Source organism: Homo sapiens, chromosome 12 (assembly GCF_000001405.40).
Source record: "Homo sapiens chromosome 12, GRCh38.p14 Primary Assembly".
Lineage (NCBI taxonomy): Eukaryota > Metazoa > Chordata > Mammalia > Primates > Hominidae > Homo > Homo sapiens.
In genome coordinates this window covers 52,689,144-52,705,460 of record NC_000012.12, presented here as the reverse complement: position 1 = coordinate 52,705,460, position 16,317 = coordinate 52,689,144, and the positions used below count along the sequence as shown (strand labels likewise).

The window sequence follows — 16,317 nt, the reverse complement described above, 5'->3', positions numbered from 1 at the left end:
CCCTGTCTTTATTAAAAATACAAAAAATTAGCCAGGCGTGGTGGTAGGCACCTGCAATCCCAGTTACTCAGGAGGCTGAGACAGGAGAATCGCTTGAACCCAGGAGGCAGAGGTTGCAGCGAGCCAAGATTGTGCCACTGCACTCCAGCCAGGGCAACAGTGCAAGACTCTGTCTCAAAAAAATAAGCAAACAAACAAAAGAACCTAGGAAAACTCCTCCCACAGTCTCTAAATAAATCAACTCACTTTCTAGTTACTCACAAAGTCTGTCTTATCTGCATTTTTTTTTTTTTTTTTGAGAGAGGGTCTCATTCTCTTGCCCAGGCTGGAGTGCAGTGGCACGATAAGGGCTCACTGCAGCCTTGACCTCCCAGGCTCAAGTGATCCTCCTACCTCAGCCCCCCTGACCCGTGGGAGCTGGGACTACAGGAGTGTGCTACCACACCTGGTTAATTTTTTGTATTTTCAGTAGAGATGGGGTTTCGCCATATTGGCCAGGCTGGTTTTGAACTCCTGGGCTCAAGTGATCTGCTTGCCTTGGCCTCCCACAGTGCTGGGATTACAGGAGTGAGCTATTGCACCCGGCCTTCTGCATTCTTAATTCTTATGAGTTCACAGCGCAGACTCCATCATGTAGTCTGCCCTTTCCCTTTAATATGGTACATAGTATCACAAGTGGTTGCCGGTTCTGCTGCAGAGTCTCCAACAAGATGATTTAAAATAATTGTATCCAATTGGGCAAGCCATCGCTTAGCCATTTTTCTAAGGCTGGAGAGTTTTTCCCCAAGTTAAAAAAATTATTATTACATTTTGGATGAAAGCCACAGCTATTTGAGTCCAGAGGGAAAACGCACATTTTTTTGTTGGCGGACACTGATGCTCACTGAATGAGCTTTTCCCCAGGATGCTGTCTGGGACGTGCTTCTCAGAGGGTGAGCACAGATTAGTGCTGGTCTACCGTGCTTTGCTATTGCCTTGTGGTAAGCACAGAATTTGAGAGTAACCATTTAGAAAATTATTATTATTGTTGCTATTTTTAGCAGTTAAACAATGTTTTGTTTGCTGAATCTAAAAATAAAAAAAATTTGGGCTTGCATTTTGTATATCTTTTTTAAAAAATTATCTTTAGGAGGTAATTCCTTTAATTCTATTTTACAAAAGTATTGTCTATAAAGAACCGGAAATGATAAAACAGAAAGAGAGATAGTTAGGGATGGTTTGTCTTCTGGTCTAGAAGACAATATTAGGTACTGGTAGATGCTCAACAAATCTATAACCACAGACTTTTGGTGCTGAAGTACCTTGTGTGGTTTTGTGTTTGAGAAGTCTGAGGCTTATCAAGCAGCACACAATGTGAATGACCTTGGGCAGAATCTGTGGGCCTCCACTTGTACTCAGTGACCACAATATTGCACTTCCATGTGATAAAATTTTGGGTGCTCATGGTGATGATAACTGCAGGGAGCAGAAGCAGTGTGTGGGGAGATTGGAACAAAACTTTTGCCCCACCAGGACGATGCTGTGACAGAAAGTGTTTCCACCTCTGTCCCAGCTATGGTCCTGAGGTCTCTAAACACCATCTAACTTTGCCCCAGATCTCCCAGGCACATCCCAGAAACAAACAACTCGATGGTGGAGTTTCTTAGGAAGAGATGAACTGATGATTTGGGGAGAATCTGTATAGAAGTTTCCAGCAATGAGATCCTGAGAGATTCTTGCATTCTGATCTCTAAATGGCAAGAGATGAATGATAAATGATCGAGTTGGGGAAGTTTGTCTGCAATCTGATTTCTGCAACTCACAGGTGTGAGGTTTTAAACAGATGTTGCTGGCAGGCAAACTAAACATTAATACTCCCCTTTCAGGATTGTAAAGGTGCCCAGCCCAGTAATGTGTGTGTGTGTGTATATATATAGAGCCGGAGCCAGATCTTTTCAAAGGAGTCAGAGCTCCTTTCCTCTCTGGTCTCTGCCTCCTTCCTGCCAGGCTCTTTCTCTTGCCTGCTTCTCTGGATGCTCCAGCAAACATGAGCCACCAATTTAGTTCTCAGTCCGCGTTTAGTTCAATGAGCAGGCGGGTTTATAGTACCAGCTCTTCTGCAGGCTCTGGTGGTGGGAGTCCGGCAGTGGGTTCTGTGTGTTATGCTCGAGGGAGGTGTGGTGGTGGTGGATATGGGATCCATGGAAGGGGGTTTGGCTCTAGGAGCCTCTACAATCTGGGTGGCAGTAGAAGCATCTCCATTAATCTAATGGGGAGGAGCACCAGTGGTTTCTGCCAGGGTGGGGGAGTAGGGGGATTTGGAGGGGGCAGAGGCTTTGGGGTTGGCAGCACCGGGGCTGGTGGCTTTGGAGGAGGTGGTTTTGGGGGTGCTGGATTTGGGACTAGCAATTTTGGGCTTGGGGGCTTTGGTCCTTATTGTCCTCCTGGGGGCATCCAAGAGGTGACCATTAACCAGAGCCTCCTAGAGCCACTTCACCTGGAGGTGGACCCTGAAATTCAGAGGATCAAGACCCAGGAGCGGGAGCAGATTATGGTTCTCAACAACAAGTTTGCCTCCTTCATTGACAAGGTGAGCACCTCAGGGGCAGGGAGGGTCATTGGTCACTGACCAAATGACTGAGAGAGATTACACCTTACCACCTCTCACCACATCGTGCTGTTTCAGCTTGACCTGGGACCTTAGAAAATCATTTACCCATTTGGGCTTCAATTTGTCTTCTTGCAGGGATTTAATTCCATCTTTTCCTTTTGGCAGGAAAGGAGATAAGCAGTGTTAAAATACTCAACAGATACATGGTGTAGTACCCTCATTCTCATTCATAATTATTCACTTTCCATCCACCCATCCACCCATGCACCCATCTATCCATCCCCATCCACACAATCCATTTATACACACACACACAAACACACACACACACACACACACACACATCCATCCATTCACTTATTCATCAATCCACCCAACTATCCACCCTTCCGTCCATCCATCCATCCACCCACCCATCCACACAATCCATTTATACACACACACACACACATGCACACACACACACGTGTTCATCTGTTCATTCACTCATCCATCAATCCATTCAACTATCCACTCATGCATCCATCCACCCATCTAGCCCACAAATATTTTCTAAGAATCTATGATAGGCCAGACATCGTGCCAGGTGCTACAGGTGACTAGGACACAGGTCCTGCCATCAAGGAGCCCACGTCTAAAGGGGAGAGAATTACTACAGTGTATGTGAAGTGTGTCAATAGGGGTAGTACTCTCTGGGCCATGGTAGCTCAAAGGAGGGTGTCATGAGCTCTGCTTGCTGAGTCTGGAAGGCGGATGAAAAGTTAAATGGGTTCTAATTTTAGTATATGTGCTGCCGAAGTGAGCACGAGTTAAATGGGTTCTCAGGGCAGAGGGGATTTTCAGGCAGAAGGACCAGGAGGCATGAAAGCGTGACGCGTTTAGGGAATTTCAAACAGTTACAATTCCTGGAGAAAATGGGATACCAAGGGGTGGAGGAGAGAAGTGGAGATGAAGCCACAGAGCCAGGGCAGGAGAAGCAGGCAGGGCATGGTGAATGCCCTGGTGGTGGGTATCTCTTGGGGCTAAAGTCAATAGCATGCAATGTAGGGTTCTGTCTGAGTTTCCCCTTTTGGCTCATCAAGGGCCAAGGATGGGCCAGATGGAGACACAGAAGCCCCTGTCCCTAGTTCCCTGTTGAAACTTCAGATTAGGTCCAAAGCAGCAGCAGAGGCTGGAGAACTCGCCATGGTGAAGACCTCCCTCCAGCATCTCCTTTTGTCTGGAGGTCGAGGCACAGCGGCCACTAGCACCTCCCCAGGAGGAACTTTGCCTTCAGGGATGCAGTGGGAAGCCCCACAGAGCACCAAGGCCGCTTGCACACTCAGTGACTTTCCCTCAGTCCCCACGGGAGTTCAGTGCTGAGGCCAGAGCTTGACCTGTGGCCTGACTGCAGGGTAGCTGTGGCTAGAGGCCATACTGGGTGGCAGGGCAGGCCTCTGATATCTGAGCAGATGCTGGGGATGGGACAGTGTGTGAGCGGGCGGAGGAGGGTGAGAGTGCTGAGGCCCAGAGGCTGCCGAAGAGGAGCGCAACACAGCAGCGTGCTCCCGTGGCTTCCGATCATGCTGCGTGGGAAATTTGGCTGAGTATCACCACGCTTCAGGCAAAGGCAGGGGTTAGAGGGTTTCACTGGAGCAAGGAGTCACTACTCGGAGGTCACGGCTGGGCCAAGAGAGGAGCAGGGAGGAGAAAGGGCTGGGAAATGACCACAGGCCGCTGGCAACTGACCTCCTGAGGCTCATCTGATTATGGCCCCTGCCATGAACAGGGTCTGTCCAGTTGCATGGCATAGGGCAGTGGGCAGAGGCTAGGGTGCAAGAGACCTGGGCCTCCTGTCCTTCGAAGGGCATGGCCTATGATGACTATGAGGAGAGGCTTCTCAGCCAGGTGGGCTGTGGCCTGGCTGGAAGGAAGAAGGCTTCTATGACAGGTGACTTCTGACTCTGCTTTCCAAACTGGTCTTCCTGCTTTCACCCTTGACCCTGTATAGCCTATACTTGACACCACAGCAGAGCCATCCTTTAAAAGCATGTCACGACACTCCTCCATTTGAATCCTCCAGTGGCTTCTTGTCTCGACTGAAAGAAAAGCCCAAGTCCTACAAGGCCCTATATTACTTGCCCTTCAACCCGCAGCTGCTGCTAAGCCCACACTTGCATTTGTGGAATCAGGCCACGTTGCCCTCACTGGGTGGAACAGCTTTCGGGATACAATGGCTAGTAAGCAGAGTGAGGCCTGGAAAACAGCCCCCAGGCTTCCAACTCATTGTTGTCTGCAGCCTCCTGTGCCCCTCTGCCTCCTCTCCTGCTCTCTTCTTGCTCACCAGCATCCAAGGCTCAGTTCTGTCTCAAGGTCTTTGCACCTACCATTCCCTCTGCATGGAACTCTTCCCCCGAGAGAGAGGCCCACCTTCCTCCCTCACCTTCTGTGGGTCTTTGCTCAGATGCCACAGTTTCAGTGGGGCCTTCCCTGACCACCACTTCAGTGTTCCTATGCCCCGGCCCTGTGTGACTCCATAGTCCCTGCAGCCATCTGAGGCACTGTATTTTTTACATGATTATTTCTTTATAGTAATCTCTCTAAATAGAATGCAAACTCCTGGAAAGCAGGGATTTTGCCTGTTTTTTTTATTACCAAATCCCTAGCACCCAGAATAGTGCCTGACATATGAGAATTGCTCAATAAATAGAAACCGGATGACAAATTGGGTCAGCCCCTCAGGGGTCAGTGCTGGACGCTCAGAGAGTGGAAATGGAGCCAAAGGCTTTCTAGAACCAATGACAAGGGGACAGGGCCTCAGAAAGGAAAGGAGGGTTTCAGCTCTTACCCCTGGGACACTGGCCTGGCCTTGATCAGCTGACCCTTGGACCTCTATGCTAAGAGTGGTGAGTGGCCTGGATAGCCCACACCAGCAGGCAGTTCTAAAACCTTTTGCACTTCATGAGTGCATGACACTTTTTGTCTTCTCCGTGTTGGGCATTGTGTGTCCATGGGTCCACTGTGTCCCCTGGAGAACAAAGTAGACATAGGCCTGCCCTCATGGGGTCCAGTGCAGCCCGGGAGAGAGATGCTCACACACTGTCACATGACTGCAAGTCTCAACAGATCTAGAAAGGCAAGGAACAAGGGGCTGCAAAGGGGACACACTGGTGGGATGCCACCTCAGCTGAGGTCTAAAGGATGAGCAGGAGTTTGCTGGGCAAAGAGTTGAGGAGACCTGGGGTGCTGAGGGCACTGGGAGGTCCCTGTGCAGGGGAGGAGCACTGAAGCAGAGGGTGGGCGAGAAGGTTGCTCAGCAGCATGCCTCATTCCATCGGTGCTAGCTGAGCTGCCCTTGAGTTTTGCTGGTGGGACACAGACCAGGAGTGTTTTGGGGAACCTGGGGAAAAACACAGTGGCTTTTACTGATTGTTCTAGTGGTTAAGGCACTCCCTGCATCCAGACTCTGCCTTTGCAGTTTGGGTGGCCTGATGAGAACCACAGTGTCTTCTATGAGCTCCTGGATATTGCGGATGGGTACCTGGGCTAAAGCCAGAGCACCCAGAGTTGTGTCACTGCTCCCTCATTGTTTTATGTGGAGACTCTCCATGGGACCACAGGATTCTTTCTTTTGGTCCCCACAATGCCACTGCCACTGAGTGCAGTGAATGAGTCCTGAATTGATTTCTTCACTCCCTGGGAGTGCCACCACAGAGTAAAAATAGAGAGTGGCAGGAATTTCTCACGGTGTTGTGAGCTGTGCTGACAAGCCTGGGAGAGCTGCTTGCCTAATCTCTTGCTTTGATAAGGTGAGCAAAAATGAGCCATGGGAGGTTGTGTTGTCTGCAAACATTTTCCAGCCTAGAGTCAGAATCCAAAGGGAGCTAACCAGGGTTGGCCCCTCAGAGGGGCGGAGTCTCAAGGGCCGGGGGATTTGGAGGACCCTCACTAGTGTCACGTGGTAGGGGAGTGTCTTCAGGGTTCCGTTCTGACCACACAAAGCAGTGGGTTTGCCCCTTTACATGGTGCCCAGAGGAGGAAGCAGGATTCTGGAGGGTGTGTGTTTTTGGGCGTGTGCGCCTGCATGCGGCCGAGCAAAGTCTGGAGGCAGCATCACTGCTGCTATCAGGGCACTGGAGCAGAGGCTCCACAGTGTCTACCTGGCTGAGGAAAGGTGGAGGCTGGTCATTACCATGCCAAGGACAAGCCGCACACTTTGCACAGCCAGCCGCCTCCCTGGGCCCCGCATCTTACCTCCATATCCACAGTTTTGGGAGAAGAGGTGGTGAAAATATTGGGTGATGTCCACTCTCCATTTCCCGGGAAATAGCAAGTGGGTAGTTCTCAAACACCTGACAACCCAAAGTCCTCACTTTGGGGCACTTGAATGCATTAGACTTTTAAAAAATGAGGACATTTGCCTTAAAAATTCTGTCTGCATTATAAAAGCATTTAAATGAGTTACTTTCCTGACAAACATCCCGGCAGACAGCAGAGGTGGTGGTGGCTGCAGGGCAGGGGCACCCAAGCAAGTGTGCTCAGGAATTAGTTTAATGTTCTAAGCCAAATTGATCCTTCTCTCTTTTTCTTTCTTCCTCTCCTCTATCACATAATGCATTTTGACCACAAAGAGAAAGGAACCTTGGGGTCATCAGTGTCTCAGATGCTCCGAAACACCATTTCCTTACGTTGGCATGGATAAATTGAGTGTGGAGGGTGAGTGCTCTATGATGTAAATGAAGGAGGTGATTTACCTTCAAAACCAGAGTGAGCTTAGTGTCAATTTTAGGCAAGTTGACCTTACAGCCATTGGCAGTCAGAAACCACATTGCCCTCTGTGTGTCTCAATCCCGAGAAAAGGAAGCTCTCTGACCCTTGGAGGAGCCATCCTGATTCTCTGAGGTCTGGATGTGTTGAGGGGGTATGGATGCTCCTACTTATGGGGGAGCTGCTCTGATCCATGGCCTGGGGTGGACTGGGGTCTCTTGCTCTTAGGTGCGATTCCTGGAGCAGCAGAACCAGGTGCTACAAACAAAATGGGAGTTGCTGCAGCAGGTGAACACCTCAACTGGAACCAACAACCTGGAGCCCCTCTTGGAGAACTACATCGGTGACCTGCGGAGGCAGGTGGATTTGCTCAGTGCGGAGCAGATGCGCCAGAACGCGGAGGTCAGGAGCATGCAGGATGTCGTGGAGGACTACAAGAGCAAGTGAGACTCCAGGCAGGGCAAAACAGGGGAGAAGCATGGCCGGAAACTGGTCACAGGGGCAAGACATTCGGCTTCAGTGTTTGTGTGTAAGGGTGGGGGGCGGGGCATGCAGGCTCTGCACTGCACAACTGCAGGAGGCACTGTTTTGTATGTGGCAACCCGGGTAGAATGATATTGGCAGCCAGCTGTCAATTGCATTGGGTGGGGAGGGGCAGGATAGCTTCATGGATGTTGAAACCAAGTAAGCCTGATTTCCAGTGTGGCCTCTGCCACTTACTAGCTGCTTACAAATTCATCTTTTTAAGTTTCTAGTGTTCACATTAGTAATGTGGGAATAGCAAGAACCTTCCTTGTTGGATTGTTGTGGGTAGATCTGTGGTTCTCAGACTTGAGCATGCATCTGTTTGCTGGAATCAGATTGCTGGGCTCTGCCCCCTGAGTTTTTGATTCAGCAGATATGGGATGCAGCAAGAGTGTTTGTACTTCTAACATGTTTCCAAGTGATGCTGATGCTTGTGGATTGGGGACCACACTTTGAGAACTGCTGGTTTGAATGAAATGATGCTTAATAAGTTCTTAGTATTGTGGCTGTACACCCCTAGCAGTCAATAAACCCTTGTTATTATGACTATAAACAGTAGGGGTGACGGGAGTTGTCGAATTCCAGATCAGCTGCTCCTGAGCCGTGCAGGCAGCAGAGCCTCTCCCTCCCTCTTCTTCCCCATGTGGGGTGCAGGGTGCTTCTCTCCCATCACCTTGGCATGCTTACTGTGTCGTGCCAGTAGAGATCCAAGTGTGTGTGAATCAACGAGGGAAAAGTGAAATCCACACTGGAGGTGCTGGTGGGGGGTGGGGTACAGAAATGTAGATTAAATTTTTTCTCTTCAAAAATATTTAGTAAAAGTGGTTGTTATTTCATGTTCTCAGTTTTAAGGAATGAATGAGTTTGACACATTTACAAAGGTAAAACATCAAAATAAAAATAGACATTCCAGGGACCTTCTCTGTGGCTCTGGGTTTTCCATGTTGGCCCGGGGTCCCCTCTGTTGGCCCACAGACCTAGGAGTTGGCTCTGCCCTCATCCATGAGAGTGCCAGCCTCTGGGAATGGACAGCCAGCACCTTGAGCAGGGTTCTCTGAACCCAGGACAGCAAATGTTTGGGGAATTCCAAGCTTTCTGCTGTAAGGAGGGACCTCAGGGAGCCAAGGTCAGCCTGCAGCCTTTCTGTGCTCCTTTGCCTCGCCTGACAGGTATGAGGATGAAATCAACAAGAGGACTGGCAGCGAGAATGACTTTGTCGTCCTGAAGAAGGTGAGGGAAAGGGGAGTCCTGAGGGTGGCTGTGGACCCAGGAGGCTGAGGGGAGTGAGGAATCCCTATGGGATGCTCTGTGACAACGGCAGGGTGGCCTCTACGGCCGGCTTGCTGTGTATGATGCCTGAATGCGGGGCCCTTACATTGGAACTGACACTGATAATGACTCTTCAGGAAGCCTTGAGTTCGTATCTCTCTGGGGTCCTGAAAGTGAAATGAAGTGAAATGACAGCTTTTGAGTGTCAGTTACCTGTAGCCTTGGGACCTAAGGAAGGACCTGGGGTGTTGGTTGTGACTGACTGGGATGTGGAGGTTGGTGTCACATCTCCTTCTGGCCAGGAAAGCCAGGACTTGTGGGTCCCTTATTCGAGTGCGGTGATGAATTTTTTAAGTAAGGAAATAAACCTAGAGTGGCTCTGCCACTCGCCTGAGCCAGCCAGTGAGCTGGTGGCAGGCAATGCCTGGGCAATAAAGTCAAACTGTTTCTGCCTGCTATTCAGGATGTGGATGCTGCTTATGTGAGCAAAGTGGACCTGGAGTCCAGGGTGGACACTCTGACTGGGGAGGTCAATTTCTTGAAATATTTATTTTTGACGGTGAGTTAAGCCTTTATAAGAACCTCCTTTCTTTTCTCACATCTCACAAGGAGTATGGGCTGTAAGAGGGGAGGCCTGAAACCCAACACTAGGGTCCCACTAGGGACTCATCTCCCCAGGTACCCCAACTCTGTGGGCCTGGAGTCAGCCATCCTCTCCACCCCAATCCTCAGAATCCCCAGGTCGGGGTAATGAAGATGGAAGGCTGGGAGAATCCTGAGTTAGGTGGAGGCGAATGTGTCCCTGGTTCATGGCTTCCAATCTGTCTGGGAAATCACCCAGACATATAAGGGGCAAAACCAACCAGAAATCTTCATTAATTCTGGGGAGTTGATGGAGCTGTTAGGAAACTCTGTGGGAGGTGACAGTGTGAGTCTCAAAGGGAGTGGAACCTGACCTTAGTGATGGGGGATCAAACACTCCACCACCCGGCCCTCTTTTGCCTGTGTCTAACTTGGGGGTACGTGCTCTGGGCCAGATGCTGTGTTAGAAGTTTATGTTATGGGTATCTCCATTCTACAGATGGGAAAACTGAGGCACTGAGGGGTTAAATTACTTGCTTCATTACCTAGCTAGTCAATGGTACAGCCAAGACTCAAAAGTGAGTCCAAGTGACTCCTTAACTAGAGTCCATTCTACTGCCTCGGAGTACTCATGTGGTTTCAAGGAAGAGGCATGCCTGCCAAGGAGCCCAGCTCACTATGGTGGCCAAGTCAGAGCAAGGCAGAGTGGCAGCTGCAGGAGAAGTGTGATGGGGAGATGGTATCTGAACGCTCCAGGTTTAGGCTCCTTCCTTCTCCCTGGAGGCAGTTAAGACTCTCCCTATTATCTCTCATTGCACACAACAATTCCAAGAGCTTTTCCCAAGACTACCTGGCCCAGGCTTCTGGCTTCCCCCGAGAGCCTTGAGGGAGCAGCAGAGGAAAACTGAGGCCCCCAGAGGAGAATGGAAGGAGTCAGCCTGTGCGCCATGCCTCGCAGGAGCTGTCTCAGGTGCAGACTCACATCAGCGACACCAACGTCATCCTGTCCATGGACAATAACCGTTCCCTGGACCTGGACAGCATCATCGATGCAGTGCGGACCCAGTATGAACTGATTGCACAGAGGAGCAAGGACGAGGCCGAAGCCCTGTACCAGACCAAGGTGGGCGTGGCCCCCAGATCTGGTGCCCAGAAAAACAGATTCTTCCCAGAATTGTCTTTCTCTTATTGCATTGTCTTTCTCTTATTTCTGAAGTAAAATGTGTTTGTTATACAAATTCTAGAAATTACATGTAAAGATTACCCATCTCTCACTACCGCTATTAATATGTTAATATCTCTTCTACCAGTTCTTTGTCGCTATTAGGCTAGTGGAAAAGTGATTGCGGTTCTCGCCATTAAAAGTAATGACGAGAACTGCAATTACTTTTGCAAAAACCCAATAATGTTTATTGAGAACTCATATGTGTTAGGCACTGCACAAAGTGCTTTACTTATTTATTATTATTTCATTCAGTCCTTACAACAACCAATGAGGTAAGAATTTCGTTATCACCATTTTATAATAGATAGTAGTGTGTGAGATTACTTAATTTCCCTAATGCCTTGTAGCTAGTAAATGGCAGAGCCAGAGCTTAATTAAAATTGGGTTTGTGTCTACAAACCCATTCCCCTCACCACTAGAATGATTTTTATTCTTTTTTCATAATGGTATCTATTAAAATATATTTTTTTTACTTTTTTTTTTTTTTGAGATGGAAACTCACTCTATCTCCCAGGCTGGAGTGCAGTGGCCTGATATCAGTTCACTACAAACTCCGCCTCCTGGGTCCAAGTGATTCTCCTGCCTCAGCCTCCTGAGTAGCTGGGATTACAGGCACGCGCCACTACACCAAGCTAATTTTTGTATTTTTAGTAGTGGCAGGGTTTTGCCATGTTGGCCAGGCTATACTTTCTCTTTTACTTAACACATATGGATACTTTTCTGTGACACTAAATAACCTGCCGCATTTTTAACAGCCTGGTATTATATTGTTAGACTACACCCTCCCTTATTAGATCAACTCCTTTGTGGCTAAGTTGTTGGGCACATCTTTGGTTACTTCTTTTCCATAAACTGACCTGGATCTTTTTGGATGGTGAAGCCTCTGGTTGAAAGGGCGTGGCTGACAGTCCAGTCACTAAATTCTGAACAACTAGCATTGATGACTGGCTTTGAGGATGATCTGTGGCCAACTCCAATCCTGGCTGACCTCTGTCCCACGGTCCTGCACAGTGTTCTGGGGTGGAATGGATTTCGACATTAGACTAGGAAGCAGATGGCCAACAGTGAAAAATAGCAGAGTGCAGATTCCCTTGAGTCGATGCTTCTCCTACCCACTTCAGAGCCCTGTCCTGGGGGTGGAGTTCTGACTAATGGGGCAATACAGAGACAGAAACAGAGATGGAGGGGAAATGAGACTGAACGTGGAGCCAATGGAGGGCCTCTGAGGACATGAGGTCCTGCTTGACTGCTAGGGAGATCATCCTGGAAAAGGGTGGGAAGCTATATGGTGGGTGGAAAGAGTGAGGGGGTCTCAGTGTGGGTAAGGACCAACGTGAAGGCTTAGATGTGTGAAAAGGTGGTAGAAAGGGCATCACAAAGCAGGTTTGTCTGGCTGGGATGAGAGTCTGCCCAGAGACTGGTGGGAATGCGGGAGGCTTGGGATAGTGTGAGTGTGTGCATGTATACATGTGTTTGCAGCCTGGGTGAGGGAGGTTTGGTATAGCTGTGAGTATGCATGTAGGGGTGACCACAGTGCAAGGTGGGTGGGAATCTCCCAGGGGAGAGCAGCCCAGACCTACTCCCTCCTGGAGGGGCTTGTGGTGGGCAGCACATGCTGACTATGATGCTGCCTTTGGCCCCAGTACCAGGAGCTCCAGATCACGGCAGGGAGACATGGAGACGACCTGAAGAACAGCAAGATGGAGATTGCAGAGCTCAACCGCACCGTCCAGAGGCTGCAGGCAGAGATCAGCAACGTGAAGAAGCAGGTGGGACGGGTGCTTAGGGAGGGCTGACCAAGCCCTGCACCTCCTACAATGCCCTGCCAGATCGAGCTCTGGAAACTTAACCATTAAATGGTCTCCAACTGTCTCTGGAGCAGATTGAACAGATGCAGTCACTCATTTCGGATGCTGAGGAGAGAGGCGAGCAGGCCCTCCAGGATGCGTGGCAGAAGCTGCAGGACCTGGAGGAGGCCCTGCAGCAGTCCAAGGAGGAGCTGGCCCGGCTGCTGCGTGACTACCAGGCCATGCTGGGGGTCAAGCTGTCCCTGGATGTGGAGATCGCCACCTACCGCCAGCTGCTGGAGGGCGAGGAGAGCAGGTGGGTCTGGCAGCTGTGTTTCTGGGGCTAAGGCTTGAGATGCACCCATGAAGCTGTGGGACTGGCTATTTGGAGAAAAGATAAGCCCCACCTTTTTGGGAAGATTGGTAGCCCAGGGTGAGCAGAAACATTCCAATTAGAGGCAGAGGCTGTGTGAATGGACAAGCCTCTTCACATAGGGAGAAGTCATTGTTATCATTCCTCCACCTCCAAGTAGAATGTCCTTATACCCCAATCCAAGCCTCTGCAGCTGGGTATTCACCCCCAATGCTAAAAGGCTTCATGAAAACCCTGAAATTTCTCTCTGCCCCACTGGCTTCCTGACCTCTGCTCATGCACACACATTTCCCTAAGGCTTGGGGACACCTCTGATCCAGATGTCTGTGGGCCACAGCCTTCTCTCCTCAGGCCCTGTGGGTCTGGCTGACCGTGTGCTTTGGTTTTACAGGATGTCAGGAGAGCTGCAGAGCCATGTGAGCATCTGTAAGTAGCAGAGCCCAGGGGCAGAGAGAGGCTGGTGGTGCTGGGTGGAGGGAGGGCCAGGAGGTGGCCAGCAGAGAACGGAAAGTCTGGCATTTTAGCTTCCAGTCCTGTGCAATAGACACCAAAGTAAGCAAGTGTAATGGCAAAGCCTGGAAGAATTCATTTGAAATAAATGGTTATGATTTCAGGTCTGCTTATCTTAATTGTTATGATGCCTTTTTATTAAATGATGCCTAGGAGGAATCAGCAGCGGCTAGAACTCTTTAGGGTACATATTCAATAAACAATGTAAGTGTGTTGCTGAGAGGAACCCTGGCATCCCTTTGTAGTATGAAGAATACTTTTCAAGTAGGAACACTTTCAATTTTCAATGTATGGGGTTTGCAAGTCGATGCCACGGGTGATCGAGGATGGAGGAGGCTGCAGGTGCAGGGGCGGGTGCAGGTGGGGGCCTTGCCCGGTCCCTCTGACCCCGTGTGCACTGTCCCCTACCCACAGCCGTGCAGAACAGCCAGGTGAGCGTCAACGGCGGCGCGGGAGGCGGCGGCAGCTACGGCTCAGGAGGCTACGGCGGCGGCAGCGGTGGGGGCTATGGCGGCGGAAGAAGCTACCGCGGAGGCGGGGCACGAGGCAGGAGTGGAGGCGGTTATGGCAGCGGCTGCGGCGGCGGTGGCGGGAGCTACGGAGGGAGCGGCAGAAGCGGCCGCGGATCCTCGCGCGTGCAGATCATCCAGACCTCCACCAACACCTCCCACAGGCGGATCTTGGAGTAGAGGCCTCGTTTCTGCCACACATCACGCCTGCCCCTCACCGCCCTCTCCTCAAACTCCTCCCCTCCACGCCCTTCCTGATCCCCTCTCATTCACTTTTCTTAATGGGTCTCAGCAATTTTGCCAATAAATTCGACTCTAATGGGGGAAGCAGGGTGGATAAGTCCAAACAGCAGATCTCTCTTTGGAGGGCACTGGCTTGCAGTCAGATTCACAGCTAGGCACATTCTCACTCAGACCCCGCTCTGCTGGCCCTGCTGCTGTTCCTGCTCCCACCTTTTTGGAAGATCGGTAGCCCAGGGTGAGCACAAACATTCCAGTTAGAGGCAGAGGCTGCGTGAGTTGGCAAGGTAGGGAGAAGTCATTGTTATCATTCCTCTGCCTCCAAGTAGAATGCCCTTATGCCCCAGTTCAAGCCACTGCAGCTAAGTATTAATCCCCAGTGCTAAAAGATACCAGGCATCTAGTTTAGCAATGGAGGGAAACAGAAACAGCCTGTAGAGAGCATCGACAAGGCGCATAATGGAGAGTTGGTATCTCAACCCCAAGCTCCCTTTGCTGTACCTGGGCTGCTCTGTGAACAAGAATCCACGCCCCCCTGCCCTGCTGGGGACCACATAATGATCCCTTTGGGGGAAGTTGCTGATTGCAGGGCAAGCTAGCTTGGTAAGGAAAACCTCTGCACCAGCGGCCTATTCCTGCCTCTTGGTCCATAGCCTCATACACTCATGTTGATGGATAGTATAGATTTGCTGCCCACACCAGATATCTGTAAGGCATCACTGTCCTGATTCTGAACCTCTGTTTCAGGAAGCATTCTCCCCTGTGTAAACAACTCAAGGTGGAAGTATTTCAGAGGGCATAGGGTCATGAATCCTTACCCAAAGGAAGCCTGTTTTAGCAGTGGATGCAGGAGTTGATGAACAGACAAGCAAGTTCTGCTTCTGTCCTGTTTCCTCCTGACAGCTCCATTCTTTTGAAGCCTGACCCTTCCTAAGCTCTGCATCATAACCACTCTGAGAATTGCCCCATTGGGTGGGCATGTGAAGCCCAGCTCTGTTCCATCCAGGTGCCTCGGGCCTGAGGAGTCTGAGGATCTGACTTGGGTCTTGGAAGGGTTCCAACCCCAAGTCAGTCAGGAAGCTGCCCATTTTTTTGCAAGGCATTTTAATGCCCTTTCCCAGACCTCTCTAGTCCCTCCTGCCTTCTGTTCTCTGTAGCTGTGAGCCCTTTGTGAGAATATGACTCTTAATTTTGAATCTTATGTAAGAGGCTTGAGATGTGCTGGAGAGGGCAGGAAGAGGAAAGTATCAGGCCTTGAGAGAGGGAATGTAGCTTTGCTTCTATGATCTGGAGTCACCTTCACTTGCTAGCTGAGTCCTAACACAACTTCCAAGTCCATGATTCTCTTGGGGCATTGGATGGGCTCAGTGTGGGTCTCTTAGGCTGTTCTTGTGACTTCATCATTTCCTGGTTCAAAGTTGTACTGTCAAGGGGCAGCATTTCTGGTATTTCTATAATAAATTTTTCTGTGATCTCAAATTGCTGTTTGGTCAGGAGATGCATTATTTCTTCTTCTTCTTCTCCTTCTTCTCCTTTGCCTTCCTCCTCTTCTCCCTCCTCTTCTTCTCCTTCCTCCTCTTCCTCCTCCTCCTCCCTCCTCCTCCCCCTACTCCCTCCTCCTCCTCCCTCCTCCTCCTCTTCTTCTTCTTCCCTCCTCCTCCTCTTCCTCCTCCTCCTCTCCTCCTCCTTCTTCTTCTTCTCCTTCTCCTTCTCATTCTTCCATCTTCATCTTCATCTTCTCCTCTTTTTCTTCTTTCTTCTAAATAAAGATGGGGTCTCACCATGTTTCCAAGGCTGGTCTTGAACTCCTGGGCTCAGGTGATCCTCCCACCTTGGCTTCCCACATTGCTGGGATTACAGGTGTGAGGCGTGGTACCTGGGCTATTTCTTTAAAAATTTCTGCAGACCTCTGAAATTATTTATATTTGGGAAGTTAAAATTTCTTCTTATTTTTTATTGTA

The 16,317-nt window shown here is 50.0% G+C and overlaps 1 protein-coding gene across 3 annotated transcripts, besides 1 other annotated feature; it reads left to right on the top strand.

Moving 5' to 3' along the window:
- On the top strand, positions 1,937-15,835 carry KRT77 (keratin 77). Of its 3 annotated transcripts, none has more exons than NM_175078.3 (9): positions 1,937-2,569; positions 7,565-7,779; positions 9,031-9,091; positions 9,594-9,689; positions 10,671-10,835; positions 12,581-12,706; positions 12,820-13,040; positions 13,489-13,523; positions 14,022-15,835. In NM_175078.3, the coding sequence occupies exons 1-9, from the start codon at positions 2,027-2,029 to the stop codon at positions 14,294-14,296; spliced, it is 1,737 nt and encodes a 578-aa protein (NP_778253.2). In that variant the 5' UTR covers positions 1,937-2,026; the 3' UTR covers positions 14,297-15,835. The 3 variants fall into 3 exon arrangements, with proteins under 3 accessions (NP_778253.2, XP_011536591.1, XP_011536590.1); XM_011538288.3 differs by lacking the exon at positions 1,937-2,569 and adding an exon at positions 6,957-7,285; XM_011538289.3 differs by lacking the exons at positions 12,581-12,706; positions 12,820-13,040; positions 13,489-13,523; positions 14,022-15,835 and having other exon boundaries at positions 10,545-10,722.
- Positions 3,695-3,864: an enhancer, noted in NCBI's record as "experimental_29208 CRE fragment used in MPRA reporter constructs". NCBI's record gives its function as "activates a minimal promoter by MPRAs in K562 erythroleukemia cells, with activity observed for the introgressed 12:53095466 variant allele {active_cell/tissue: K562}" and the evidence as "EXISTENCE:reporter gene assay evidence [ECO:0000049][PMID:34662402]".